Source organism: Homo sapiens, chromosome 2, assembly GCF_000001405.40.
Source record: "Homo sapiens chromosome 2, GRCh38.p14 Primary Assembly".
In the NCBI taxonomy this organism is placed as follows: domain Eukaryota; kingdom Metazoa; phylum Chordata; class Mammalia; order Primates; family Hominidae; genus Homo; species Homo sapiens.
In genome coordinates this window covers 240,043,019-240,070,414 of record NC_000002.12, presented here as the reverse complement: position 1 = coordinate 240,070,414, position 27,396 = coordinate 240,043,019, and the positions used below count along the sequence as shown (strand labels likewise).

The window sequence follows — 27,396 nt, the reverse complement described above, 5'->3', positions numbered from 1 at the left end:
GACTTGTCTCAAAAAAAAAAAAAAAAAAAAAAAAAATTCCTCCATTAAAGTAACAAGAATACTGGCAAAATTATCAAAGTCAACTTTTTCAAAATTCCAGAAATTAGCCAAAGTTCATGACGCTCTGAAAAGTGTTTACAAAAGAAAAATGACTGAAACTTGGTTAGAATAGCAAGGGCTATGGCATTTTAACTTGATATCTCTCATCTCATCTTTCCCACCAACATGGTGTGGTAGCCTGGAAAACCAGCTGCCTTGCAGCCACCAAAAGGGAAAGGCTGGTTTTGAAACTTCTCAAGAAGACAACCCTAGAGCATTGTCACTGTGACCTGCAGTTCCCCAAGAAATCCGTATTTATGTCATGGCTATTGGATCTGACCCAGAGAGCTCAGTTATACCCCTAGGGCATTGTTGAAGAGTCAGCAGCAATTGTTTACCTTTGCAATTGCCTAATGCTGCAATATCATTATTTCTAGGGCAAATAAGAACTCAACTAAAAATGTAAAAGAAAGACATGGGGTGTAAGATATCCAGAGGCTTTGAAAAGCTCCTATGTATTCCTGGGGATCCAGAAGTCTGCATACAAGCATATGTCTGCATGCCTGCCCAGGAAAGACTAGAGGAGCCCAGTCAGTCACCTCTGGCTGACCTTGAGGCCCTGTACAAGCAGAAAGTAAAGGTTAAGACAGATTTGAAGGAGTGACTCTAACACACACAGATACCCTTAGGAAAGGGTGGAAGACTTACTGGCTGATGGCATTTAAGAAAATCTAAATGAACATTGACTGACAATTAAGTCAAGGTGAGTCAAGGGTGACTCTTAGAAAGCCAAGCTTAAAAATAAAAACCAAAATTTAAAAAATACCCAGAGGCTTCAGTGGCCATAAACTGTAGAGAAAACAGACTCTACAGAATAATCTGAGGAAGGTCATCAAACAAACAAACAGCAACAAAACCACCTACAACAAACCAAGGGTGGGCTTATACCAGAGTTGTCACATTATATTATTTAAAATGTCAATTTATCAATGAAAAATGATGAGACACAAAGAAACAGGATAGTATGTCTCACACAGAAAAATAAAGCTGTCACTTAAAACTGTTCTTAATGGTACTTAGATGGTGGTTTGTCTAAAACTTATTAGACAAACACATGAAATCAGCCACTGCAAACATGTTCAAAGAACTGAGGAAAATCATGTTTAAATAATTCAAGGAAAGTATGTACAATGATGTCTTATCAAATGGAAAATACCAATACAGAGATAGAAATTACCCATCATATTATTATATATAATATACATATATATATATATAAAGATATATATATATATACGTATATCCCCAAATAGAAATTTTTGGGACAAAAAGTACTATAACTGAAATAAAAGAATTTACTAGAGGTGCTCAACTATAGAAAAAAGAATCAGCAGACTTGTAGATAGGTCAATAGAGATTATTCAGAGTAAGAAACAGAAAGACTGTAGAATGCTTAAAAATAATCAAAGCATCAGAGACTTACAGGATACCATCAAGTGTACCAACCCATACTTACTAGGAGTCCCAGAAGGAGAGGAGCAAATTAAGCATAAAAAGGATTTGAATAAATAATGGTGGAAAACATCCCAAACTTGATGAAAAACATTAATCTATAAATAGAAGAAGCTTAATGAATTTCAATTACAATAAATCCAAAGGGATCCACTCCTAAACATATCATAGTCAAACTTTCAAAAGCCCAAGACAATAAGAGAAAGCAGCAAGGCAAAAAATGGCTCCTCATATATCTAATACTCAATCAGATTAATGCTTAACATCATCAGAAATGATGAAGCCAGAAGGTAGTGGAATAACATATTCAAACTGCCAAAAGAAAAATTACATAACACTGGAATAACCTAATATAACACTGGAATAACCTAACATAACACTGGTATAACATGAAAAATGGCATCTGACTTTTCCTTGTACACAATGGAGGCTAACAATGGAACAACATTTTTAAGGTATTGAAAGGAAAACACTGTCAGCATAGAATTCTATGCCCAGCAAAAATATTCTTCAAAATGAATGCTAAATGAAGACATTATCAGGCACAGAGAAGCTGAGATCATTTGGAACCTTCAGGCCTGCACTAAGAGAAATTCTAAAGGAAAATCTCCCAGCGTAAAGAAGATGATATTAATTGGAGCCCTGAATCTTCAATGAAGGAATAAACAGGACTTGAAAGGGTAAGAATGAACATATGAGCAAAGGCAAAATAATTTTTTTTAGAAAGCAAAAAACAAACAAACAAAAAGTTCAGGAGGGGAGTACATGAAATTATACAAATGTAACATTTCCATATAGTTCATCTTATAGCATAGTATTAATTGAAGATAGACTGTAATATGTTAAAGGTACATATTTCAACTTCTAGAATAACCCCTGAAACTAACTGTATTAACTTCCTATTGTTGCTGTAACAAACTCTATTATCTTACAATTCTAGAGGTCATAGTCTAAAGTGGGTCTTATGGAACTAAAATCAAGGTGTGAAAAGAGCTGCATTTCTTCTGGAGTCAATTCAGAAGAGTCTGAATTTTCCTGTGTCCAGAAGCTGCCCACATATCTTGGCTCTTGGCTGCATCACACTGGCTTGGGTTTCCACCATTATATCTCCTTCTGTGACTCTTGCCTTCCTCTTCCATATTTTAAGGACTCTGCGATCACATTGAACCCACGAAGATAACCCAGGGTAGTTTTCCTATCTAAGGATCCTTGTCTTAATCACATCTGCAAAGTCTTTTTGCCATGTAGGGTAACATTAGCAGATTCTGGAGATTAAAATGTGGACATCATTAGGGGAATATTATTCTGTCTACCACACTAACAAAAGAAATGTAGCTAAAATATCAACATGGAATATAAAGCAGAACATTTTAGAGGTGCATAATTTATCCAAAAGAGGAGAGTAAAAGAGAAACAGAAACAATGAACAAAGGAAATAGAAAGACATTAAAATGGGAATCTTAGGACATGTCATTTATTGTATTAAGTGTAAATTGAGTAAATACTCTACACAAAAGAGTTAACTTTATTTTTAAATTTTAAAATACGTAACTTTGCTTAAAAGAGGCAAATTGTTTTGAAACAATGAAGTTGAGTGCTGTTGACTCAACTACTCTGTGCTGAATTCAAAGAGATCTGTCTCATTTCCTTAGTGGTTTCCTGAGCTCTAATAGATAGGAACAAGCATCTTTCTCCTCAAATATCCATGGCAAAGGCTGAAAAGTATTAAATTAGCATTTTCCCTTTCCCAGGAAGAATGGGGGATGTAGGCCAAGCAAAGCGGAAGAATTTTCCAAAAATGCTTGACTGTGAAATTCTCAGCCCAACACAGGTTGACCAGTCAAAATAATTTTCATCCTATAATTAGCTCTAAAACTCAAAGACTAAATAGACAAACTAAAGTAATCCTTGTGGTTAATATTGCTATTGCATTGCTTAGAAGGAAAGCTGTTCCAATAGAATTCTCTCTTCTTCTGAGAGCAGGAACCTAACAGAGATCCAAGGAACATTTAAGTTTAGCAAAAGGTTATTTCAGAAAGCTAGCAGAAAGGAAAGTTAGTGGAAAGCAAATCAGCTCAGACATTTTGTGGTGCTTATCCATATTTTTGCCTGCATGGAATGCCTTACCTTTCTGAAAAATGCCCTCCCGCAACACTGTGTGGTTTGAATGGATGCTGCCATCTTCTGACACGTTTGGAATCTTTGTCACTTGTGTTTTGCCAGAAGAAGGTACCTAACAGCAAGTGGGGCCTAGAGGACTTCCTTGAGATTTTTTGAAGCTCATAACCAGACGAGCAACCCCCCGAGGAGGTGAAGTAGGATAAACGAAGCATGGAAACTGTTGGCAACTTTCTTGCTGTACAAAGAAAGATCATCCGGGACAAAAAAGGCCAACTGATTAACAGACTGTATGAAATTCGAACATCCCTTGAGCCTTGCGCCCAGGTACCCTTGAGACCAGTTGGTCACCTGCTCTGCCTGCCGTTCCACAAACCTTCCAGCAAATTCCTATTCTTCAATGTCTTAGTTGCAGTTGGACTCCTTTCCTTTCCAAGGTAGAATATATGATATTTTTCTCATGAGCGACTCTTCTCCAAGACACCAAATATTTCTCTCCACCTCAGAGGTGACTCTGTTGCAAGTAGTTAATAGTCATTCCAATTAGAGCTGAAGACCTCATACTATGATTTGCCTTTCTGATGTAATGTTTACTTTCTAGCTTCTGAGCTCATAATTGACAATGGCATTACTTTTATTTGCAGCAGGATTTCTAGATGTTGCAAAAATCATTAATGGGTTTTTTTGATTTAGGTAGTTATAAAAAGTGAGAAAAATTAAAATGGCCTTTTTTGTCTGTGTCAAAGGCTGCCAATATTGAAGATGACTGGAATTGTAATAATAGTATGCCAATAAATTCAACAACATATTATTTTTAAGATAGAGACAGTGTCTCACTCTCTCACCTAGGCTGCAGTGGCGCAATCATTACTCACTGCCACTTTGAACTCCTGGGCTCAAGCAATCCTCCTGCCTCAGCCTCCTGAGTAGCTGGGACTACAGGTGCGTGCCACCAGGCCCAACCGAAATTCAAAAACTTCAATGAAAAGTCCAAATATTTTAAAAATGTACCTAATCAAAACGGAAACAAGCAGAATAGAAAACCTGAAACAGCCATGCATCTATTAAATACATGGAATTTGTAAACAAAACCTTCTTACCAAGAAAATGCCAGGACCATGTGGTTTCATTGAAATTGTTAACAAAAAATTTAATGACAAATAACACCAATCTTACAGAAATTGTTTCAGACAATAAACGCGGTGCTGTTTTCCAGCTCATGGTTGAAGCTAGTAAAACCCTGCTATCAAAACATGAAGAAGACGCTACAAGAGAAGGAGACTTCAAACCAAGCCTTCATTAACATAGACATAGGCACAAGAGTCTCTGAAAATATTAGCAAACAAATCCAGCAATACAAAACAGGGCATCTCATCATGACCAAGTAGGGTTTCTTCCATGAATTCACCATTAGAATACCCATAATTTACCATATCAACAGAACAAAAGAGAAACACCATACCCCTAGCATCTCAATAAATTCAGAAGAAAAAAGGCCTTTGACAAAAATTCAACACACATTCAAAGTAAATATTTCAGAAAATAGGAACAGAAGAATTGAATAAAACTGTCTCAATCCAGAAAAAGAGCATTGACAAAAACTTAAAGCTGACATCACGCATGATGTTGAAAAACTGAATGTTTATCCGCTAAGATCAGCAATAAGGCAAGGATATCTGCTTTTACTACCTGTTGTTAACATTGTGCTGAAGCCTTCAGCAAATGCATAGGGCAAGGGAAAAAAATGCGTAGAGATTGGACCAAAAAAAAGAATTTAAATGTTGTTTATTCACAACACAATTTTCTACATATAAAATACTCGAGAATCTATAATTCAACTATTAAATCAAGTAAGTAAATTTGGTAAGACCATGAGCCATGATATACAAAAATGAACTGTTTTTCTGTAATTAGCAACAAACAAATAGGAAAAATAAAAATTTTAAAAGGTATGGAAGATGCCTACCCTAAGAACTGCAAAACATTGGTAAGATAAATTAAAGAAGTCCTAAATAGAGAAATGTATGATGTCCATATTATTTAAATGTGAATTCCCCCTAGTGATCGCAGATGGAACCATCAAAATATAAAAATTAGTAAAGAGTAATTGAAGTATTAATAAGTAGGTAAACAATTATTAGCTGTTTGAACAATAAGAGCAAGGACACATACTTTAAGATTTATGTAGAATTTTGTAAACGTTGAGAAAGATGAAATGAAATTAAACTATTTTAAAGTTCTAACATTATCTTAGTGGTAATAAATATAATTAATCTTAATAGATTGTAATAAGAGAATAATGCATGTTGTCTTTTGTAGGATAGCCAGAAAATAATAAAGAATATATAAAAATTTAATAAAGGAAAAATTGAAATACAAAAAACAATTCAAGTGAAAGTAGATAAAAGTAAAAGTAGGGGTATAAAAGAGAGGCCAACTTTTAAAAAATAGGCAAAAGATGTCAACAAAATTATGTCAGCATTTACATTAAGTTATTTAAGTATTCTGTTTAAAAGACTGAGATTATCAGGTTGGCTAAGACATACCTTAAATATAACGACACAGGAAAAATGGAAGCAGAAGTAAGGGGAAATTCTATGTCATAAAGTTAACCAAAAGAAATCTTGTACACCTATAGCAATATCAGATGATTCTACCTTAAAGCGAGAAGCCATTCAAGAAATAAAGAGAAATGTTACAATGATAGAGGTGGGTTTGTATGCTGTGCAACCTAGGCAGGTTGTCTTACAGCCCTTTATGAGCTCAAAATTTCTTGGCAGTGATGGAAACTCACCTGATGCAGTATCCACCTGAACCACTTAACATTATCCTTGTGGTACCTGGGAATAGGCAAGGGGAAATGATGCAAGCATGAAGTTTATACATTCTCCCATATCATGAGTAGTAAACTCTGTTGTCTCTACCTTCTGTCGGCATCCATGAAAGTGTGGCAGACTTAATTGGTAGCTCATAATTAGGTAAAATCTCAAATTCTTCACAATTCCTGACAAATATGGATGGCCAATAAACCCATGAAAACATGCTCTACATTGTTAGTAATTAGAGAAAAGGAAATTAAAATCACAACAAAATACCTGGCACATTCACTTGAAGAGCTAAAGAATGGCATTACTAAATCTAGGTTAGGATGCAGAGCAACTAAAACCCTCATATATTGTTGGTAAGAATGTAAAATGGTACAGCCCATGAAAAGTTGTATGTAAGCTCAAAATACAATTTCTGCATAACCCAGAAATTGCATGCCTTATTTATTTATCCAACAGAAATCCCTGTACACACAGATACATACACAAATGCTCATAACAGCTTTATTCATAATAGCCAAAATATAGAAACAACTCAAATACCAATCAACAGATAAGTAGATTAAAATATGTGGTATATTCATATGCTGGGGATACTATTCAACAATAAAAAGGGAACAAATTATGCACCCAACAATATGGATGAATCTCAAAAACATGTTGAGCAAAAGAAGCCATGCTGTATGATTCCACTTACACAAAGTTTTAGAAAAGGCAAACATAAATCTATAGTGACCAAAAGCAGATCAATAGTTCCTTGAGCAGTGGGTAGAGATCATTTGCTGCAAATGGACATAAATGAACTTTTTTGGGATGACTGAATGTTCTATCTTGATTGTGGTAGTAGTACACAATTTTATACATTTGATAAAATTCATAAAACTCTACACTTAAAATAGTGTATTTTAATACACTATAGCTCATAAGGTTGTATCAAAAGGAACATTCCAATAAGAAAAATCTATAGCAATTTGATACTTGGTCAAATATTATAAGTTCTCCCACCACACACACATGCACGCACACACACACCCCACACACAAAAATATTCAGGTTAATTTATTCTTATTTCCATTGTCTCAAGATAATTTGTTAAAAAGCCTATCTTTCCCCATCAAACTACCTTAGTACTTTTACCAAAAATCAATTTACCATTTATATGTCATCAATTTCTGAATCATAGCATATTCTATACCACTGGACTACATATCTGTCATCATGCCAATCTCACCCTGACTTTATTACTGTAACTTTATAGTAGGTGTTGAAATCAGGCAGTAGATACCCTCCAATGTTGTTTTTCTTTTTTTTTTTTCAAAATGGTTTGAACTCTTCAAGGTCCTTTCCTTTCTATACAAATCTAGGGTCAGATTTTCAATTTGTGAAGCCTGCTAGTATTTTTATTGGGAGTGCTTTAATCTATGGATCCATTTGGGAAGAATTAATATCTTAACATTATTGAAATTTTTAATCCATGAACATGGTATATCTTAGTTTAGTATGGCATATTTTATTTTAGGCCTTTGTCATTTTCTTTCGGCAATTTATTTTAGTTTTTGGTGTTTCTCTTATCAATATTTTGCAGTACTCAGGCTGAGAATTGACAAAGCAGTAGGGTCTTCTGGCCCAACAACTGGTTGGAGACCCAAAGTCATATGTACATGTGTGGGGAAAAATGGCTGAAAGGTGAGACTAATTTTTCTGGGACCCCTTGACACAGGAGTCCAATGCACTGTGGCTTCAAACCTGTTGGTAAAGTCCAAATGGGGGCTACAGTTAGATTGAGTAAATTGGACAGACTAAATGAGAATCCATAGAATTTCCAGAACTCATAGAGGTTATTAATTTGAAACAATATAGAACACCTGGTAGACAGAAAGGGCTTACCACTTTAATTGACAACAGAAGCTGGAATGGTTATAAAGAGATTGTTTGTTCTATAGCTTTGTGGGGCCTGTGGAAAGGTAGATGGATCATGGACACTATCGGTAGATAATCAAGCCTTAAGTAAAGTGGTGAAGCCAATAGCTTCAGCAGTTCTTAATGTGGTTTCAATAATGCAAAAAAATACAGCAAGCAAAAGGAGACTATGCTCAGTGACTGGTCTTGGAGGTGCTTTTTTCTCAATCTCAATCTCAGAAAAGAGCCTTTCATGTAGAAAGGATCTCAATTTACATTTATTGTACGGCTACAGGGTTGTTTGAATTTACCAGCTTACTGTTATGATTCAGTTAGAAGAGATTTCAAATTGATGCAGGTCTTGAGTGTAATAAAACATAAAAAAATTGATATTGCAATAATATCAGAAACTGAAAAGCAAGCTAGAACTGACCTAAAGAGGATGCTGATGCACGTGACTAACAGAGGCTCGTTGATAAATCCAACAACAATAGAAGGACATGTCCAAAGGGTGAAATTCTTAGGAATAACATGGGCAGAAACCACTCTTGACACTCCACAGGCAACTAAAATCTAATTGCTGTCATTGCCTACCCCTGGAACTAAGGAAGAAACACAGTGCATGATTGGGACATTTGGATTTTCAAGGATGCATATTCCACAGCTGGGAATATTGGTAGCTCCAATCCATGACACTACCTGAAGGAGGCCACATTTGAACAGGGACCTGAACAAAAAGCAGTAGCTCTATCGATGTTCTTGAGCCCTAATGAGACACACTCAGACATAATTCCGGAATTATCTGCCACTCACACTGCATGCAGGAGCTCATAGCTAAAGCCTATGAGTGCCACCCAGTGGCAAACTCAGGGATTTTGAATCAGAATATTTCAGATGCATCAATATGACATAGACTATTTGAGAGATAATAACTAGTTTGCTATTGGGCATTCATTGACACTGCCTCTGTGATTGAATGACAGGAAACAATCTTGAAACCTGAAATGCCCATAATGTCTTGGGTGATGTCAGAGAAATACTCTCATCAGGAGAGCAATTCCCAGAAGAGTTCCAGAATAAAATGGAAATGGTTTACACAGGAGCATGCTACAAGGGGATGCCTGGAAAGTATTCATTGTATTCACAAAACAGAAGCCTCTTTTCCTCTGTGGCTGACTTTAGGACCACCTGAGGGACTGCTAGATCCCATTGCCACATGGGAGGTGCCCTATGAGCAGCCCTGGATTGACCAAGGATAAGCTGCTTGGTTTAGGGAGAGCGGTTCCAAGGAGGATGGGTAGCATCCTGTTTGGAAGGCTGCCACCCTATGACCAACTGATGGAAAAACTGATTGAAGAAGGTAAGAATAAATCAGTTCAGTCAGTGGAAGTGCGTCCTGTTTTCCTTGTGGTATTGGAAGAATTGAACACCAGTAAGAGCCCTTGTGTTTGGGTGTTTACGGACTCATGGGCAGTGGCAATGACCTGGCTATGTGGGCAGGCAGGTGGGCCATGGAAACTGCACTATTGAAGAATTGGGTAAGGCCCCATAGAAATCACTATGGGAATTTCAGGGGATGCATTAAAGGACATATCAATGTCTGTCAAAACCCCCTTCCAGGATCAGAAAGTGATTGGAACCAGCAAATGGAAAGCCTGGTGCACTCACTTGAGGTGGCCACCAGGGCCCATGGAATGAGTGGACGTGGGGGCTGGAGCTGTGCAAGGAGGGAGTGCACCTGGATATGCCCCCCCACACACACACCCTCTGAGGCACAAGATGCCAGCAACAACTGTCCTGTCTTCAAATAAGAGGGACGGAGACTGCAGACGATATGAAGCAGACTCCCTGGGTGGGCGTGGGAAGGGGGATGGCCCCACACATAGCTGGGCAGTAGACTGTCACAGCACTACTGGTCACTCCAGGACATTATAAATTGGCCATGCAGGAAGAGACACTTGCTCTGGACTGGGCATTGCATACCCAGTGGTAAATGCAAATGCTCAAAATACTATGAAAGGACTGGAACAGAAGATGCTACACCAGTTTGCTCCATGGAGTTATGTTTCCTCAAGAAAGAGCCTAGGAGAGCCAGAGTGACACCATTTTAAATCAACTCCATCTTAAAACTAGCAAGGAACACTCCTTGCCAGTCATGACCCATGGTCCTAAGATGTTTACAGCTAAGGAGGCAGCTTGGTGCTGTCTGCAAAAACACACTCCTGCAACAACAGAAAGTCCAGATGTGCTGATGCCCATAACAATGTAGGCTTTCTAGATAATTCTAGCTATGCTTTGATGGACTCACACACAAAAATGTTAAGGACAGTTTTCTTTAAATCAATAGAATAATGCATTTTGTCATGCCGTCAGCTCACCCGCACACAGACACAACTTAGCTTAGTCATTGTGTGGACGAAACACTTACATAAGAAAAAACTTAAAACAAAGCTGAGGTGCTCCCCATCTTGCTTCTTTTTTTTTTTCCAGACAGAGTCTTGCTCTGTCGACCAGGCTGGAGTGCAGTGGCGTGATCTCGGCTCACTGCAACCTTCACCTCCTGGGTTCAAGCAATTCTCCTGCCTTAGCTTCCTGAGTAGCTGGTACTACAGGTGCACACCACCACACGCGGCTAATTTTTGTATTTTTAGTAAAGACGGGGTTTTACCATGTTCGTCAGGCTGGTCTCGAACTTCTGACCTCAGGAGATCCACTCACCTCTGCCTCCCAGAATGTTGGGATTACAGGTGTGAGCCACTGTGCCCAGCCCCCATCTTGCTTTCTGAGGATGCCCTGCTCTGTAACAGAGCAGCTTTCAATGAACTCTTCTCACTGCACTCTGTGACTGGCCTTGAATTCCTTCCTGCGTGAGACCCAAGAACCCTCTCATGGGGTCCAGATCAAGACCCCTTTTTTCCAGTAAAGACGCAACTAAAACCAGGTGAAAGGCTTGAGCAGGTACATCAGGGAAGGAACCAACTGGCCAAGCAGCAGTGAGCAGGTGTTAGTGTTATTAGCAACGAGAGGAATGCACACTGGAAACACAGGCAGATGCCCAAATGGACAATAAAGATAGAAAATGTGAGATTGTCCATGTTGTGTGGATCGATATTCATTTGTTCTGATTGCCAAACAGGACCCCAGCATACAGATGCACTCCAATGTGCTTATCCATTGACCTGCTGAAGGGCAGCAAGGCCATTGCCAGCTTTGGGAGATGATGAATGGAGCTGCTATAAACATTCGTGTGAATATAGCTTTTGTGTGAATATACGTTTAACAGAAGCTGTGAGACCATTTTCCAGAGCAGCAGTAACATTCTGCATCCACACCAGCAGCGTGCGAGGCCCCAGCTTCCCTGCCTCCCAGACAGCACGTAGTGCTGTCCCTGTGTCTTATTTCAGCTACTCTGATGGGTGTGCAGTGGTGTCTCATGATGGCTTTGATTTGCATTTCCCTTGCGGCTAATGGTGATACACATCTTATAAATCCTCTTTGATAAAGTGTCTGTTCCAGTCGTCTGCCCATTTCTTTTATTCTTTTTTCTTTTCTTTTGCTTTCTTTCTTTCTTTCTTTTTTTTTTTTTTTTTGACAAGGTCTTGCTCTGTTGCTGAGGCTGGAGTGCAGTGGCACAATCACAGCTCACTGCAGCCTCTACTCCCCTGCTCAAGTGATCCTCCCACCTCTGCTTCCCGAGTAGCTGGGACTACAGGTGCGTGCTGCCACACCTGTCTATTTTCTTTTTTTGTAGAGATGGGGTCTCACTATGTTGCTGAGGCTTCTATTTCTTAATTGAGCCCTCCTTTGCTCTGTCTACTAGCCTTCCTGAGAGTCAGAAAGACCTTGGCAAGTTGGAGTATTTCTTTACAGGAATGCCAACCCTCCCCCACTGCCTTCTCCTCTCTTGCATTGGGCTTTTCTCCAAACAGTGTAGCTCCCAGACTTCCTAGGCAGGGACAGGCCTCTGGATCCTCCCATTTCTTCTGCCATCAGAAAACTATCTTTTGGAAATATTTGCAAGACAGACCTGTTTGGGCTAAGACTGATACAATGATGTTTATGTTGGCTGTATATTTGAGAAAAGAAATTATCTTATGTCAGAAACTCAAATTTCCTTGTCCCCTTGACAGTGACAACATTCCTGGATTCTGGAATAGAGTATGGTCCCTCCCTGTCCATGTTCCCTGGACCAGGTCATGGCCATTGAGTCTAGAAAATGCCTCTGTCCCCAAGCAGAAGTCACACCCCTCTCTGACCCCAAAGAGAGAGGGTAGCAGAACTTGTAGTGGGAACAGGGCTGTATGGGTGGACTCTGAATGGACAGGGGAGGAAGGTTGGTCAAGTGGCCTGAATGTCTGGACAGGGGACCAGAGATGGTCAGCAGTAAATGGGGTGAGTTTCTTACCATCCAGGGTTGGGGCCGCTCCTCAGCCAGGCACCATCCCACACATAAGATTCCAGGCTAATTGGCAGTGTGGGGCAGTGACTTCTCCGTGGCAGGATAATTGGACCCTGGAGTCCCCACATCTGTGCACAACGGGGAAGGAACACACAGCCCCTTCTTCCCTGGTGCCGCCTACAAACCAGCTCTCAAGACTGGCCGGGCTGCCTCAGAGGCCGATGGGCCACAGGTGCCAGTGGGCAGGACAGAGGGAAGTGCTGGGCTGCACCAGGCTGAGGACAACCACCGTGACTCCCGCAGCTCTCCAGGGTAGGTTCCTTCTGCCAGTGAAGTGACTGGGTCTGGGGGGCAGCCCCAGGATCTGATTCCTCAAGGGCAGTGGTCGGGGTTGAGATCCCTGCCCCATGACTGGCCCGGGATGTGACTGCACAACGTGGGACTCCCCCTCGTAGGGCCCTGCCTCCCACCTCAGCTTCCTCTCCCTCTGCAGTCTGAAATCTTCACCCAGGGGCACAGGCACAATTCCCATTCCCATGTGCCCCACCCTCTGGCTTGCCTGCCTGACCCACAATGTAGAAAGATGGAAGAAGCCACTGCAGGTCTGCTCACCCCGCATCTGTGCCAGGCATGGCATGTGGGTGGCACCTGCTCTGCTTCGCGCCCTCCCTGCCTGTCCACCACACACCGCCTCTCCCTCCCTCCTGCTGCAGCCTGCTGAAAGCATGCTGGCAGGCACATTTCCGAAAGGCCATGTTCACTGGGTCTCATGCCAGTGACCGGCTGCTGGGCCTGAGCAGGCAGGGCTGTTCTGGGGGGCAGGCGCGGGAGGTGGCGGGCTGGAGCTGCTGCCAGAACACCCACCTGTGCCTGTGCCCTCGAGATGCGGAGGGACCAGAACTCAGGTGGAGGACTGCCCCTTGCCTGCTCCACCTCCTCCTCTCTGCTCTTCCTGCTCACTCTCTGTCTTCCTCTCTCCTCTTTTGCCTCCCTCATTCGAATTTCCTCTTATCCCATCTTTGATGAGGCTGAAAATGACAGGAGGTTTTCCTCGCAATTGGGAGGTTTGAGGGCTGCGAGAAAGAAAAACAGACTCAAAAAGCCCTGAGCTTCGCTTCCCGCAAACATGATGCTCCAGCCAAGTGGATCAAGGGTGCCAGTGAGGCGTCCGTTCGGAAGCAGGACGGTTCCCCTGACCCTGATCCAGCCAGGGGCCTGACCAGTCCCCCTGTCTGACTCCCACAGGGAGTGACGGCCCTGAACCATCACATGAGGTCCCAAACTCAAACCTGTATCCAGTCCCAGACCCACCCCAAATTCCATCAACAACTAGCAGCTAGGGGGTGCCCCTCATCCCCTCACATTGGGCCTGGGCCAGACTTCGCCGTCTTGGTGATTTTGGGGACAGGCGTGACAAGGGATGGGCAGGAAGACGTAGGTTTCTAAGACCCTCCACCCCCTAGACCTTGCTGCCGTGTCCCCTCCAGCCGCACGCTCATCTCCACTGCAGCTCAGAAGCATGCGTTCCAGGCATCCTCCCCGGGGACAGATCTTCCCCAGAAACACATTCTGGAGGACTCTTGTTTGGTGTTTATACTTTCCATTGTGATATTAACTCCACAGAACTGGGTTCAGAAAAGCTTTCAAGTAAAATACCTACTTACACTTCAAGACACCAGAAGTAAAAGGATGAAATGTTTTGGGAAATGGTAAACTGTGAAAGTACACCAAATTGTATCACTGTTTTCCTTCCTCCTGAGAGGCATCTGCTCCTGCTAGCTCTGTGCCACTTCCTTTCCAATTCTGCCTGCCCCATTAACATTGAGCTTCTGCCCCCAAACCCTCCCTGATATGTTTTCCCTCTGCCGTTACCAATGGCCTCCTACCTGCCAATCATGCTCCCTCCTCTTGGAGGAGCCACCGTGTCCTGGCTTGGGCCACACGTCCCCGAGTGTCTCCCCACGTCTCCCACCACCTTCACCAGCCCCTCTTCCTCCTCTTCCTGCTTCTAGAGGGGGAGGCTTCTCAACTTTTATTCTTGCCCTCTTAGTCTTCATATTTTCCTTGGTCAATCTCATTCACATCCCTGCAGGCAGCACAGATTGACTTCCTGGTGTCACTTTTGATTCTCAGGGACCCAGCCAGAAAGCCTCGTTGAGGCTGCCTTCAGCACACACCGGACAGGTTTGCCCTTCCCACGCCTCCTGCCCTGGCCTGCGCTCCTGCAGCCTTTTCCCTGATGACCTCAGGGTCTCTGCACGGGCTCCCCCTCCTCACCTGACTCCTCCAGCCCGATCTCAATGCAGTGGTCAGAGTCAGCCATTTACAGTGTGGGTGGTGCCATGCCACTGCCGTCAGAGTGAAAGCCAACGTCCTCACCATGGTCCTCACCACCTCAGGCTCTGAGTGGGCTCCTTCTGCTCTTGGTTGTCACTGTCTCCTGCCACTCCCTATCACTCTGCTGCAGCCAGCCTTGCCCCAACCCCCTGACCCCCTTCTTGCACTCCCCAGCCTGCAGCCTTTGCACCTCATTTTCTCTCCACCTACGTGTGTCCGACAGACAGCCACAGGCTAACTCACATCTTCTTTGAGACTCTGCCCTGGTGTCGCCTCCTCTCTGGCACATCCCCACCACCACCCCCCAGCCCACCCTGACCTTCTGTTCCCATCCACTCACCACCTTCCACACTCTAAATAATTTCCTTACATATCATGGGTATTATTTATTTTTCTGACTTATTTCCTGCCTTCACTAGAATTTACATTTCATGAAGGCAAGAGTTTGGGACTGTTTTTTTCTCCTGATTTATCTCAATTGCCTGAAACAATGACTGGCACATATTAGACACTTAATAAACCTTGGACCGACCCCCTACACATCTTGACATCTGACCTCAGTCTCTGGTGGGCGTTCTGGATGTCAGGGGTACTCCTGGAGCTCTCTACAGGGTGTCCCATAGGCGCTGCAAGCCCAGCATGCCCCAAACTAAGCCCCTCATCTTCCTCTCTCTCCTCAAGTGCACTTTCCCCCTCTGCAGGGAAACCCTAATGAAAGCAGAAGCCTGGAGGCACCCTGAAATTCCTCATCTCTGGGAGCAGCTAACAGTAGCATCGGGAGCTCAAGTGAGCCCATCAGGAAGAAGCTACGTCTGAGGCAAGTCCTGAAGGGCAACTGGCAGGGCAGCAGTGGGGACTGAATCAGCACGGTGCTCTCATGGCACTGAAGAGGTGCCTCCTGCAGCAGCCAGGGATTCCAGGAGGGGCAGGAGCAAGAGAGGCAGTGAGGCCATAGAGAGGCTGACTCAGGAGCAAGGGGCTTATGCTAAGAACATGCAATGGACGTGGCCAGGAGAGAGGTCTGCGTGTCATTCCCTGAATGTCATTCCCTGCTACTGGGATGATGGATCAGACAGAGTCAGGAGAGACTGGAGGAAGACCAGTGAGAGAGCGGTGACAATAATCCAGCCTGGGAGGGACGGAACCTGAACAAGGACAGGGTGGATGGCAGCCCATGAACGTGGAGACAGCAGACCTGATTCTGGAGGCATTTAAGATGTGGGGCAGAAGGACTCAGGCGTGCTCGGGTGTGGAGGGAGGGGAGGGGAAGGGTCCACACGGGAGCTCAGTGGGGCATCCGGGGGGCGTGGGCAGCCGCACCACTCCCTGAGAGGAAGAGCACAGGGGCAGGGGCTCCATGGCCAGGGGAGGTCTTGAGTCATTGGCTGGACACAGGAGTTAGTTCTGCAGAGGGATCGGGGCAGCCTGGGAGTCGTCAGCTGGAAGTGACTACAGGAACCGCAGGGGCGGGTACATTGTTCTGAGTGTGGACGGTGGGGACGGAAGGCTGGGGCCACAGCGCCAGACACTGAAGGAAAGGGGAGCAGAACAAGAGCCAAAATGTGGGCCCAGAAATGAGCAGAACGTCGCTGGCTTCTGGGGACAGCTAGTCCCCGAGGTGCACAGCGACAGAAGCCGCATGGCAGTGGGAGGAGGGAGTATAACTGCCTGTGAGTCTTTATGTATGGGAGGAAGAGACCTCATCAGAGGCATTCGTGGGAATGTGCACCCCAAGAAGACAGGGGACATGGGGACCCAGAGGTATCTGAGTAGGAGCAGAGACACATCATTGCCTGCCTCGCGCCCTGCCCTGCAGCTGCAATCAGGTAAGCAGTGGGCAGACGGGGCAGGTGCTCCCAGAGAGAGGGGCCATGCTGCGAGCAGGGTGCATCTTGCACTGTCCACAGGGTGCATTGTGAGTGCAGGACCTTGAACGGTGTTGCCTCAGATCTTCCAGCTTTTCAAAAGAAACCAGATATTGGTGCCTCTGTGTGAAATGTTCTGATTTTCAAAAACAAAGGTCAAAGTGAAAGTTTTAGAGAATTGTCCTTCTGAAACGTGCAGGATAAATGACATCCCAATATACCCAATATACAGGCGTGTGAGGAACTGGCTTGAGAGGTGCTCAGAAGCCACTGGAATTCTCGGTCTGCCCCACCATAAAATCTGTCTCCCTATTTATGTTTAAGAAGCGGTGGCTCATGCCTGTAATTCCAGCACTTTGGCAGGCTGAGGTGGGCGGATCACCGGAAGTCAAGAGTTCGAGACCAGCCTGGCCAACATGGCGAAATCCCGTCTCTACTAAAACAGACACAAAAATGAGCTGGGCACCTGTAATCCCAGCTACACGGGAGGCTGAGGTGGGAGAATCGCTTGAACCCAGCAGGCGGAGGTTGCGGTGAGCCGAGATCATGCCACTGCACTCCAGCCTGGGCAACAGAGTGAGACTCTGTCTCAAAAAAAAAGAAAAGTCACAAATAATCTTTAATTGGATTATTCTTTAAAAATCAGTGCTGAAAGGAAATCAACGAGCAGGCTATGCGTGTCGGGCCCACGGGCTTCCAGCTTGGGCTCTACCCTGTCGTGTCCACAGAACAGCAGCTTAGGAGAGGCTGGAGGACCGGCAGGCATCGCAGGCTCTGTCCATCTGAAATGCACTTTCTGATGTAACATATGAAGAACAGACCCGGTTGGTTTTTAGCATGGGTTTAATGAACTATCCTGACATCATGTTTAACACAATCCAGGCTTTCCTTGCTAATAGTATCACAGAAATCCTCAGCTCTGATGTAGGGCTTTCTATACTTTCTCTATGCTGTTCCATTGACTTTATGGTGGTGCTCGTTATCTTTAGTATTTATTTTATTAAATTATTATTTTATTTTTATTGTAGTTTTTCTATCCAAAATAGAAACGCCTCTTCATTAACCTGCTTCTCTTTTCTTCTTCCTGAATTATTTTAGCTATTCTCATCTGTTTATATTTCCAGATGATTTCAAGAATTATTTCATCCTGTTTCAAGAAAAATATAATTTGGTGAGATTTCAAATAGAATTGAGTTAAATTTCAAAATTGATTTGGAGATACTGACATTTTTACAATATACTTTTTTGAATCTAAGAATATTCTAATTAGTCATTGTTGGTATACAGGAAGACTACATTTTTGATATTCATTTTGAAATCCCTTAATTATAATAGTGTAGCAGATTTTTCAGCTTAAAAGTCCTGCCATCTGGAAATAATGATAATTTTGTCTACTTCTTTATTCTGTTCTGTGGTAGCTAGTACAATGGCACATTGTTACGTAGCAGTAGTTACAACAAAGAGCCCTGTCTTAATCCTGACCTTGGTGGAGCAGGAATGATCCTGGTATTTAGCTGTGGGGATGCTGTAGGCTGTTGGTTGAGGCTGGTATTATTTATCATGTTAGGAAAAATCACTTCTTTGGGGATGACAGATGCATGAAAGTTTTGGGAGAGTTTTTAATCAAAGCCTTTTAGCATTAGCTAGACTTCAAATGTGATCCTTTCAGCAGATTTGCTAACCTCGAAGTCTCTTTGCACCGCTGAAATAATCACGCTAGTGCCACGTGAGCTCTTTTAAAGTGCTGCTGGGTCCTAATTGCTGACATTTTATTTGAGTTTTTTAAGTATAGTAAAAAAGAAAAAAATAATCGATACATAGTTTTTCTTCCCTGAAATCTTCATCAGGCTTTCGTATCAGGAATTTGCTATTTTGTAAAATGAATTGGGACTTTCCCATGCTCTCTAAGGGTTTACCTAATGTAGGAAAGATCTGCTCCTGGCATAGCTAGAAGCTGGGCACAGGCAAAGTATCTGGGCCTGTCGGTTTTCTCTGAAGCAATTTTAACATCATGATGCTGTTGAGCTTTCTGTCTTCACTCAGTTTTCTCAAAAATAGACCTTTTTCTTGCCTTTAACAGTCACTCTTCTATGATTGCTTTTAATCATCTTCTAAGCCCCCAGTCTTCCTTGTCATCTGTAAACTGAAGCTGGAAGAGGACCACTGAATAAAACACATATTAGGTGCTTGGTAAATAGCGCCAACCCTTCCCCTGTCATTTGGTGGGTCTCCACCTGCAGTTTACTCTTTTTTTAGTCTCTGAAATTGCGTTGCATGCTCATATTTTCCTGTTTCATCTGTTTTACTGTCCTCAACTCTAAGCCTACTTCAGAACAAGTTTTTGCTGCTATCGATCAATTCTATTATTTTTTCTAATTCATAAAAAATGATTTTTATGCCATTGTTTTTAGGGAAATGTGTTATCTGTGATTCTGCTTTGGAGACAGATTGAACATTTTTTGATGCCATTGCCGATGATTTCTCCACATTTTCTAAACAAAAGTGTATATTTTCTCAGGGTTGTGAGTTTATTATCCCTCAAATCAACATTTCAAAAATTTTACTATTCTAATTCCAATACTTGGCATTCTAATTTGTTTTTACCTTTGAGATCTGTCAAGCAGTGAGAGGCATGTACTAGAGTCTGCTGCTGCTACTTTATTTGTCTCTTTTTTTTTTTTCCTTTTTTTTTTTTTTTTGTCTCTTTGAGACGGAGTCTTACTCTGTCACCCAGGCTAGAGTGCAGTGATGCCATCTCCGCCCACTGCAACCTCCGTCTCCCGGGTTCAAGTGATTCTCATACCTCAGACTTTGGAGTAGCTGGGATTACAGGTGCCTGCCATGACGCCAGGCTAAGTTTTGTATTTTTAGTAGAGACAGGTTTCGCCACGTTGGCCAGGCTAGTCTTGAACGCCTGACCTCAGGTGATCTGCCCGCCTCGGCCTCCCAAAGGGCTGGGATTACAGGCATGAGCCACTGCGCCCGGCCCCTGTCCATTTCTTCTGATACTAAAGTCAGGTTTTTGCTGACTCCGTGTTGAGGATATATTATTCACTAAAAGGTTTATAAGTGAAACAGACCATTTGGGGTCTGAAATTTTACTTGATCAAATGTTAATTCTGCAGTCATGCTTTCTTTTTGTTTGATTATACATCTGAGCCTACGGTTGTCATTTCAACCTGAGTTGAAGTTTTTTGTCGTGCATCTTGGCATATAACCGCAATTACTTTTGCACCAACCTAATACAATAGATTTTTTTTCTATGACTTGGGCATTTTTTCCTTTTACCAGGTGAGTTTATCCTACATACATTTATTGTCACAACTGATTTTTTTTTTTTACTCCAGTCATTGTTGTAGTTAGTTTGGGGTGCTTTCTTATGATTTCCTTTATTTCTATATTTTTTGTTCTTTCAAGATTTATAGGATCTATATCCTTTTAAAAACCATGATTTACTATTAAAATTTTTAAGGACTCATATTACTCTAACAATAAACTCCAGGAATATAACATACCCTTTTGATTATCTCATCTGAAAATGAGGCAAAACACACTTTTTTTCTTATTACAATCTTATCCTTTCCCAAGGTTTTCCTCTTGGAAAAACAATTAGATAATCAGTAATTGTTTGGAAAAAGAAGAGTAACTGGTTTAAATCTAGTTACTGGCTTTAACTGTATTTAAGCCCAGTTTCTCTTTTTTTCCAAACAATTACTATTTTTCATTATATATTATTTCGATTAACAAGGAGAGACGTTTGCATTTTGTTTTGTAGCTATCCGGACAACATTTGCTAGAACTGGATACGCTGTGTCTGAATGTGTGTTTCTTCACTGCCCATGTTTTTACGCTGTGAAAGTCTTGATCGGGGATTGTTATTATATCTCAGGTTAATACCTGTGACATTTTGAGTTTCTTATTGAGGAAGAGTTTAAAACTCCTACATTCAGACCAGGTGCTTGTGCAGGCTGCCTCTCTGCTACCCTCAGGCATGAATAATTCCAGGTCTGGACACAACATTCGAGTTTCATACCCTCCAGCCCTCGCTAGAAGTTTCTCTGCTGTTTTCTGGACTCAAGTTTTTGATGAAAACTAAAGCTAACTCAACAGATCTTCTATTTTATGTACAAAAAAATATAACTTATTTTATTCTGGCTGGATGCCTTTAGGGTTCTTTTTCCTTGAAGTTCCTAAACTAGCCATGATCTCCCTGGTACCTGGTGATAATCCTGCTATCCTTAGTCTGTTTACAGCCACCAAGCGGCCCAGCCAGTTGCCTCTGCCCTTCTTAAATTTTGCTGATTTGTAGCCATAAAAGGACTTCCAAATAGTTTCCATCAGCCATACAGCCCACTCACACCTAGCCCTCAGCCCTCCTCCCTGCTGACCCAGAGAACTGTGAGATCCAGACTCCCACCATCCATGTCCCCTGGGCCACAGAGCTCTCTGGGCACCCTGGTGAGGCTTTCTGGACACCTTCTTCCCTCCCATGGGCAGGACGGTGGTAACATCCTCAAAGACTCTTGGCTCTGGGCCGCCTTTCTTCACTAGCTTTTTGTGTCATGAGGGTAGCCCTCTAGTTGTACATTTTATACGTAATTTCTCCTTTTCTTTAAAGATCCGGGATTTAAGGACTAAGAGGAGAGAGAAGAGGGGGCAGGTGGTTGTGGTGGTGAAAAGAAACACGTGCCATCACCCAGTCTGCCAGCTTTTGCTGCACCGTGTTAGTTTGGGCAGACCCCTGTCACTCCTTTACCTTTCCCATCGACACTCATTCCCCTACGGCTTGTGGAGTTTCTACTGCATGGTAGGAAGTGCTCTTGGTGCCTTGGTCAGTAGTGAGAGAGGCATAGCTCCTGTCCTCAGGAGCATGCGGCCCAGTGGGTGCGCAGCAAGAGGTGCTTCACAAGCACCTCCCAAATAGAGAGCTTCCACCAGCCCTGCAGCCGGCTCGTACCCAGCCCACATCCCTCCTCCCTCATGAACACAGCAAGTGCAACCAGGAGAGACAGTGCGGAGATGGGGGTAGGTGTGGGTTGATGGGAGCCCAGAGGACGGCCACAGCAGAAGCAGCCAGAGTGGGGACGGGGCTGGGGGGCATTCCAGGTGCAAGAAAGGATGTGAGCAAAGGGCCAGGGACTCCACTTTACACAGTTCTACGACGTATACTACTGTGGTTTAAACTCATTTTGTGTTTAATCGGTGTACTTGAAAGAAAGCTGTTTTATTAGATTTCATTAATGTAACTCCTATGCACAATATTGCTACCATTTATGGAACGAATACTGCATGCCAACACGAACCAGGTGTTTTAACAACTCCCTACATTTCCTGTGTGTTTTCTTTAAAGATCTGTTGAATTCATATTACTTATTTATATTCTTAATCATTTACCTACTTATTCATGCTCTAACAGATGCCATCAATATATTTCTATTTCATCTTTATTTTCGGTTTTCTTTTCTGTATTTCAATTTCTCTGCTATTTGGGGAAGCAAACTGCTGTTGATATTATTCTGTCGTTTCTGATCCATCCTCTGTTTTCATTAATTTTGATATCTGTGCAATATCATAATTGAAACTTTTGTCATTTTTAAAGGCACACGATACACTGCACAATACACTTTATTCTCATTCAGTCATTTAATCTATGTGTGTTTTTCAGTATAGATTTGGAATTATGGCCTGGGAAAATGTTGACTTATTGAATTTTTAATCCAGTGCATAACTTTTTCTTTTTAAAGGAGAATGTAGTAATTTAAAAATAAGTAATGGATCACTATTTTGAATAAATAATATACTCACGTGAAACAAAATTCAAAACACAGAAAAAGGGTTGCCATAAAAACATTTCCCTGCCATCTGTGTTCCAGTGACCTGCTCTGCCCCTCAGGACAGTGAGTGTCCCCACCACCTTGTACCTTCACGGGTCGTCTGCCCTATTTACATACTTTTACTTGTATGAGCGGAGGCATACGATCAGTGCTGTTTCAAACCTTTAAAACTGTGGCTACAGACCTTGGAAACCATTCCATATCTACAGACGGACCTGCCCCTTCTTTTCAGTGACCACATAGTGTTCATAATAGGGATGTGACAAAACTTACTTAGCCCATCCCTTATTAATGAACAATACGGTGGCTTCCAAGTCTTTTGCTTATTAATTTAAATATTTGCTTTAGGTTCGTTCAACCAACCTATGCCCTATATCCCTGTATTTCCTTCTGAAGGGGTCTTCTCTGCCTTTTTTCTGAATAATACTATTTATTTTGTGACTTTTTGTTTTCATTGCCTGTTAGTGTAGTGTCACAGGGCAACCAACAACTGAATCTACACATCTTTATAATTCAAATGTTCTAGCCTATGTCCACATGGGTTCACTGCTTCTGTTGTGGAAACCGCATTGGAAGGGCAGCGGCCTTGGTGTTAGAAGATTCCAGTCTGTGTCCTGGTGCTGCCCCGGCCCTGGGTAAGTCCATGAACCTTTCTTTTTGGGTCTCAGACTTTCCATCTCAACTTAGAGATGTAAGCCTTCTTTTTCCCAGGACTGTAGTGAGGATTAATGGATGTGTTTTATATAAAAATACACACTCAGGTGTGGGTGGACGACTCCTCCCTCAGCCACAGGCCCCTCGAGAACGTTCTAGACTTCCTCCTCTCTGCTGCCATCTGTTTTCTCTCTTCTGGGATTGCATTGCAATCTCTCCCTTGCTGATATTCCCCTCAGATTGACAGGGATAAGGATGTGACCACTTTCCCTTCTTGGCCTGGGAGGCTCCGGCTGCTGCTGTGGATGTGCCTGAGTCTGGGATCTGGCCAAGTTGGACCTGGGCCTCACCCCTGCCATGGTGTCACTTCCTCCTGTAAAATCAACCCTAAAACCAGGTAACAGGTCATATATCTACCAATTTAGAAAGAATGCGTCAGACTCAAACAATACATCCAGAAGCCTGGGGCAGTCAGGGCTCATCCCCTGGAGGACACCGGACACCCTGTGGATGCCCTTCATGGTTATTGGGTCCCTTGGAGAAGTCCAGGTGGTGAAAAATAGGACACAGCTTTGAGAGATGAGGGAGACTGGTGGTGACAGGCTCAGGAGGGCATTCCAGACCCAGTGTTACAGGCTGAGACCTAGAATCTATATCATCAGAGGTTAGTGCTTAACATGTATCTGGGTGGGGAGCTGCTTTTGCTCCCCACTGGTGCTCTGGGGAGCCACGTGGCCTCTCTTTACACCAAAACTCCCTATCCAGGTCCAGCTCCACTCTCCCTCTGCCCCAGCTTCCCTGCAGCCCTTTCCTCTTGCTCTTTGATGTTTTGTAGGCCTGCAGCTCCCAAGCACAGAGGCATGAGTGGGGAGAATGTCACCAGGGTCGGCACCTTCATCCTGGTGGGCTTCCCCACGGCCCCAGGGCTGCAGTACCTGCTCTTCCTCCTCTTCCTGCTCACCTACCTCTTTGTCCTGGTGGAGAACCTGGCCATCATCCTCACCGTCTGGAGCAGCACCTCCCTCCACAGGCCCATGTACTACTTTCTGAGCTCCATGTCTTTCCTAGAGATCTGGTACGTGTCTGACATCACCCCCAAGATGCTGGAGGGCTTCCTCCTCCAGCAGAAACGCATCTCTTTCGTCGGGTGCATGACGCAGCTCTACTTCTTCAGCTCCCTGGTGTGCACCGAGTGTGTGCTTCTGGCCTCCATGGCCTACGACCGCTACGTGGCCATCTGCCACCCGCTGCGCTACCACGTCCTTGTGACCCCGGGGCTGTGCCTCCAGCTGGTGGGCTTCTCCTTTGTGAGTGGCTTCACCATCTCCATGATCAAGGTCTGTTTTATCTCCAGCGTCACGTTCTGTGGCTCCAACGTCTTGAACCACTTCTTCTGTGACATTTCCCCCATCCTCAAGCTGGCCTGCACGGACTTCTCCACTGCAGAGCTGGTGGATTTCATTCTGGCCTTCATCATCCTGGTGTTTCCACTCCTGGCCACCATGCTGTCATATGCGCACATCACCCTGGCTGTCCTGCGCATCCCCTCGGCCACCGGCTGCTGGAGAGCCTTCTTCACCTGCGCCTCTCACCTCACCGTGGTCACCGTCTTCTATACAGCCTTGCTTTTCATGTATGTCCGGCCCCAGGCCATTGATTCCCGGAGCTCCAACAAGCTCATCTCTGTTTTGTACACAGTTATCACCCCCATCTTGAACCCCTTGATATACTGCCTGAGGAATAAGGAATTTAAGAATGCCTTGAAAAAAGCCTTCGGCTTGACGAGCTGCGCCGTAGAGGGGAGGCTTTCTAGTCTTCTGGAACTTCATCTCCAAATACACAGCCAGCCTCTCTGAGGAGGCCATTTGACTGTTTGCATTATTGTAGTACCGCATTTATTTAAAAATTACTTCCAAATCTATTTTTCTCCTTCAGGAAAAAAACTGAGGTTGAGGTTAATAGCATAGGTATTGTTGTTGGTGTTGTAATACCAGTACTTTCTTGTTTTTGTAGATGAGCAAAGCTGTAGTTAGTAAAGCTTAATGAATTTTCCTCGCCTTTAAAATTACCATGCACATTTCAGAAAGCAGCAAAACATGCCAGATCATCTGAGATTTTAAAGTCCCCAATAAATTGCGGTGTGTTAAAGTACTAAATATTTAACCATGTGGCAAAATGAGCTCCAGGTGTCCCTGAAGCAAAATGTGTCTGGGAAAAGTAAGGGCATGTAGCCTTCTGTTTTATACCCAACGAATGTTCTCTGATTGTCTTGGGTGGATGCCCCCTCTGCCTTTTTCCTAAATAAACCCCTACTGCATGCCCAGTCAGCTGCTGAGAAAATAAAAATTGTTTTATTATTGCATGAGTCGATTCTGATTGAACCTAAATATACGCAGATGCCCAGGCAGGCAGGGCCACCTCTGTCCTATTCACTGTTGGACCTGGCAGCCCAGCACCTAAATACACACAGATGCCCAGGCAGGCAGGGCCACCTCTGTCCTATTCACTGTTGGACCTGGCAGCCCAGCACCTAAATACACACAGATGCCCAGGCAGGCAGGGCCACCTCTGTCCTATTCACTGTTGGACCTGGCAGCCCAGCAGAGCATCTGGTGCCCGATGGGCATGCAGGAGAAAGAGGCTGGGTATGGGCTGGGTGGGACGTGTAGGGGATCAACAGTGCAAGAAGAGAGAAAGCAAACCCAGGTGGGGGCTGCAGGGAGGAGTGGAAGAGGGCCACCTGGATGGCATGATATCTACACCTTAAAACAGGAATAGAGGTTATTCAATTTAAAGGGTGGAAAAGGAAGGGTGTTCCAGGCAATTTCAATGATAGCAAAGCCTCAGAGGCAGGAAGCAGCATGGAGCTGTGCAGAGCTCAAAGACGCAGCCTCATAGGAGCCTGGTGTTCACCAAAGGGGAGACTTGAGACAAAAAGAGGACAGAGCCCCAAGAGCTCACATGTATGGTGGGTAACATCAGAGCCCCGAGAGCTCCCAGGTGTGGCGGGCAGATCAGGACCCGAGAGCTCCCAGGCATGGTGGGCAGATCAGGACCCCCAGAGCTCCCAGGCGTGGCAGGCAGATCAGAGCCCCGAGAGCTTCCTGCATGGCAGGCGGATCAGGACCCCCAGAGCTAACAGGTGTGGCGGGCAGATCAGGACCCGAGAGCTCCCAGGCGTGGCGGGCAGGTCAGGACCCGAGAGCTCCCAGGCGTGGCAGGCAGATCAGGACCCGAGGGCTCACAGGTGTGGCAGGCAGCATGGACTCGTCTGGCAATTAAGGTGGGGGTAGAGGTACGTTCAGTTTCCTGCCTTGGACCGTCTATTTGGCAGGTGTGTGACAGATGGAGAGGGGACCCCGTGGGAGGCAAGGAGGCTGTGAGGGAGGCTGCTGGGATTGTGCACGTGAGGGATGAGCACTACCCTGGGTTGAGCAGTGGATGCAGGATTTGGATGCAGTGGCCGGGCCCATTTGAGAGCTATGTAAGTGTTCAAATCAGCATTTGGGGTTAGAGTGGGAATAGGAAGGAACTGAGGAATGCATCCAGATACCTGTTAGGGACCGAGTAGACGCCAGAGCTGAAGGAGGATGTGCAGATGAGTGAAGGCTGTTGAAGGCTGAGGGAGTGGGTTTGGGCTGTAACTGCCACAGAGGCCCCCAGAGAGTCGGAACTGATCGCACCTGATCTTACAGTAGGCAAAGGGGTAATTCCTATCAAATGGGTAGAAATCAGATCCAGGTGAAGAGGTTCTTCCAAGGCCAGAGGAGACATGGGATTTAATGGGAGGGCAGGATGGGGTAGCAAAGGGCTTTGTGGGGTCTGATTTAAGGGATCAAGCTGACTTGGGGTCAGGAATTTAGAGCCTGCCTCTCAGTGGGTTGAGCAGGAGAGGGCATCGGGCTTGGGTTTGG

At 44.0% G+C, this 27,396-nt stretch overlaps 1 protein-coding gene across 1 annotated transcript, besides 3 other annotated features; it reads left to right on the top strand.

Moving 5' to 3' along the window:
• Nucleotides 14,299-14,939: an enhancer, noted in NCBI's record as "H3K4me1 hESC enhancer chr2:240994893-240995533 (GRCh37/hg19 assembly coordinates)". NCBI's record gives its function as "activates a minimal SCP1, AML or CMV promoter by ChIP-STARR-seq in naive H9 embryonic stem cells {active_cell/tissue: H9 hESC(naive)}" and the evidence as "EXISTENCE:reporter gene assay evidence [ECO:0000049][PMID:30033119]".
• Nucleotides 14,940-15,582: an enhancer, noted in NCBI's record as "H3K4me1 hESC enhancer chr2:240994250-240994892 (GRCh37/hg19 assembly coordinates)". NCBI's record gives its function as "activates a minimal SCP1, AML or CMV promoter by ChIP-STARR-seq in naive H9 embryonic stem cells {active_cell/tissue: H9 hESC(naive)}" and the evidence as "EXISTENCE:reporter gene assay evidence [ECO:0000049][PMID:30033119]".
• OR6B3 (olfactory receptor family 6 subfamily B member 3) lies at nt 16,894-25,844 on the top strand. Its single transcript, NM_173351.2, has 3 exons — nt 16,894-16,955; nt 23,355-23,463; nt 24,318-25,844. Exon 3 carries the CDS (start codon nt 24,343-24,345, stop codon nt 25,336-25,338), a length of 996 nt encoding a protein of 331 aa, NP_775486.1. The 5' UTR covers nt 16,894-16,955; nt 23,355-23,463; nt 24,318-24,342; the 3' UTR covers nt 25,339-25,844.
• Nucleotides 23,430-24,629: an enhancer, noted in NCBI's record as "CDK7 strongly-dependent group 2 enhancer chr2:240985203-240986402 (GRCh37/hg19 assembly coordinates)". NCBI's record gives its function as "activates an origin of replication core promoter dependent on BRD2, BRD4, P300/CBP, MED14 and CDK7 cofactors, with strong dependence on CDK7, by STARR-seq in HCT116 cells {active_cell/tissue: HCT116}" and the evidence as "EXISTENCE:reporter gene assay evidence [ECO:0000049][PMID:35650434]".
• Nucleotides 25,845-27,396: the final 1,552 nt, after the last annotated feature.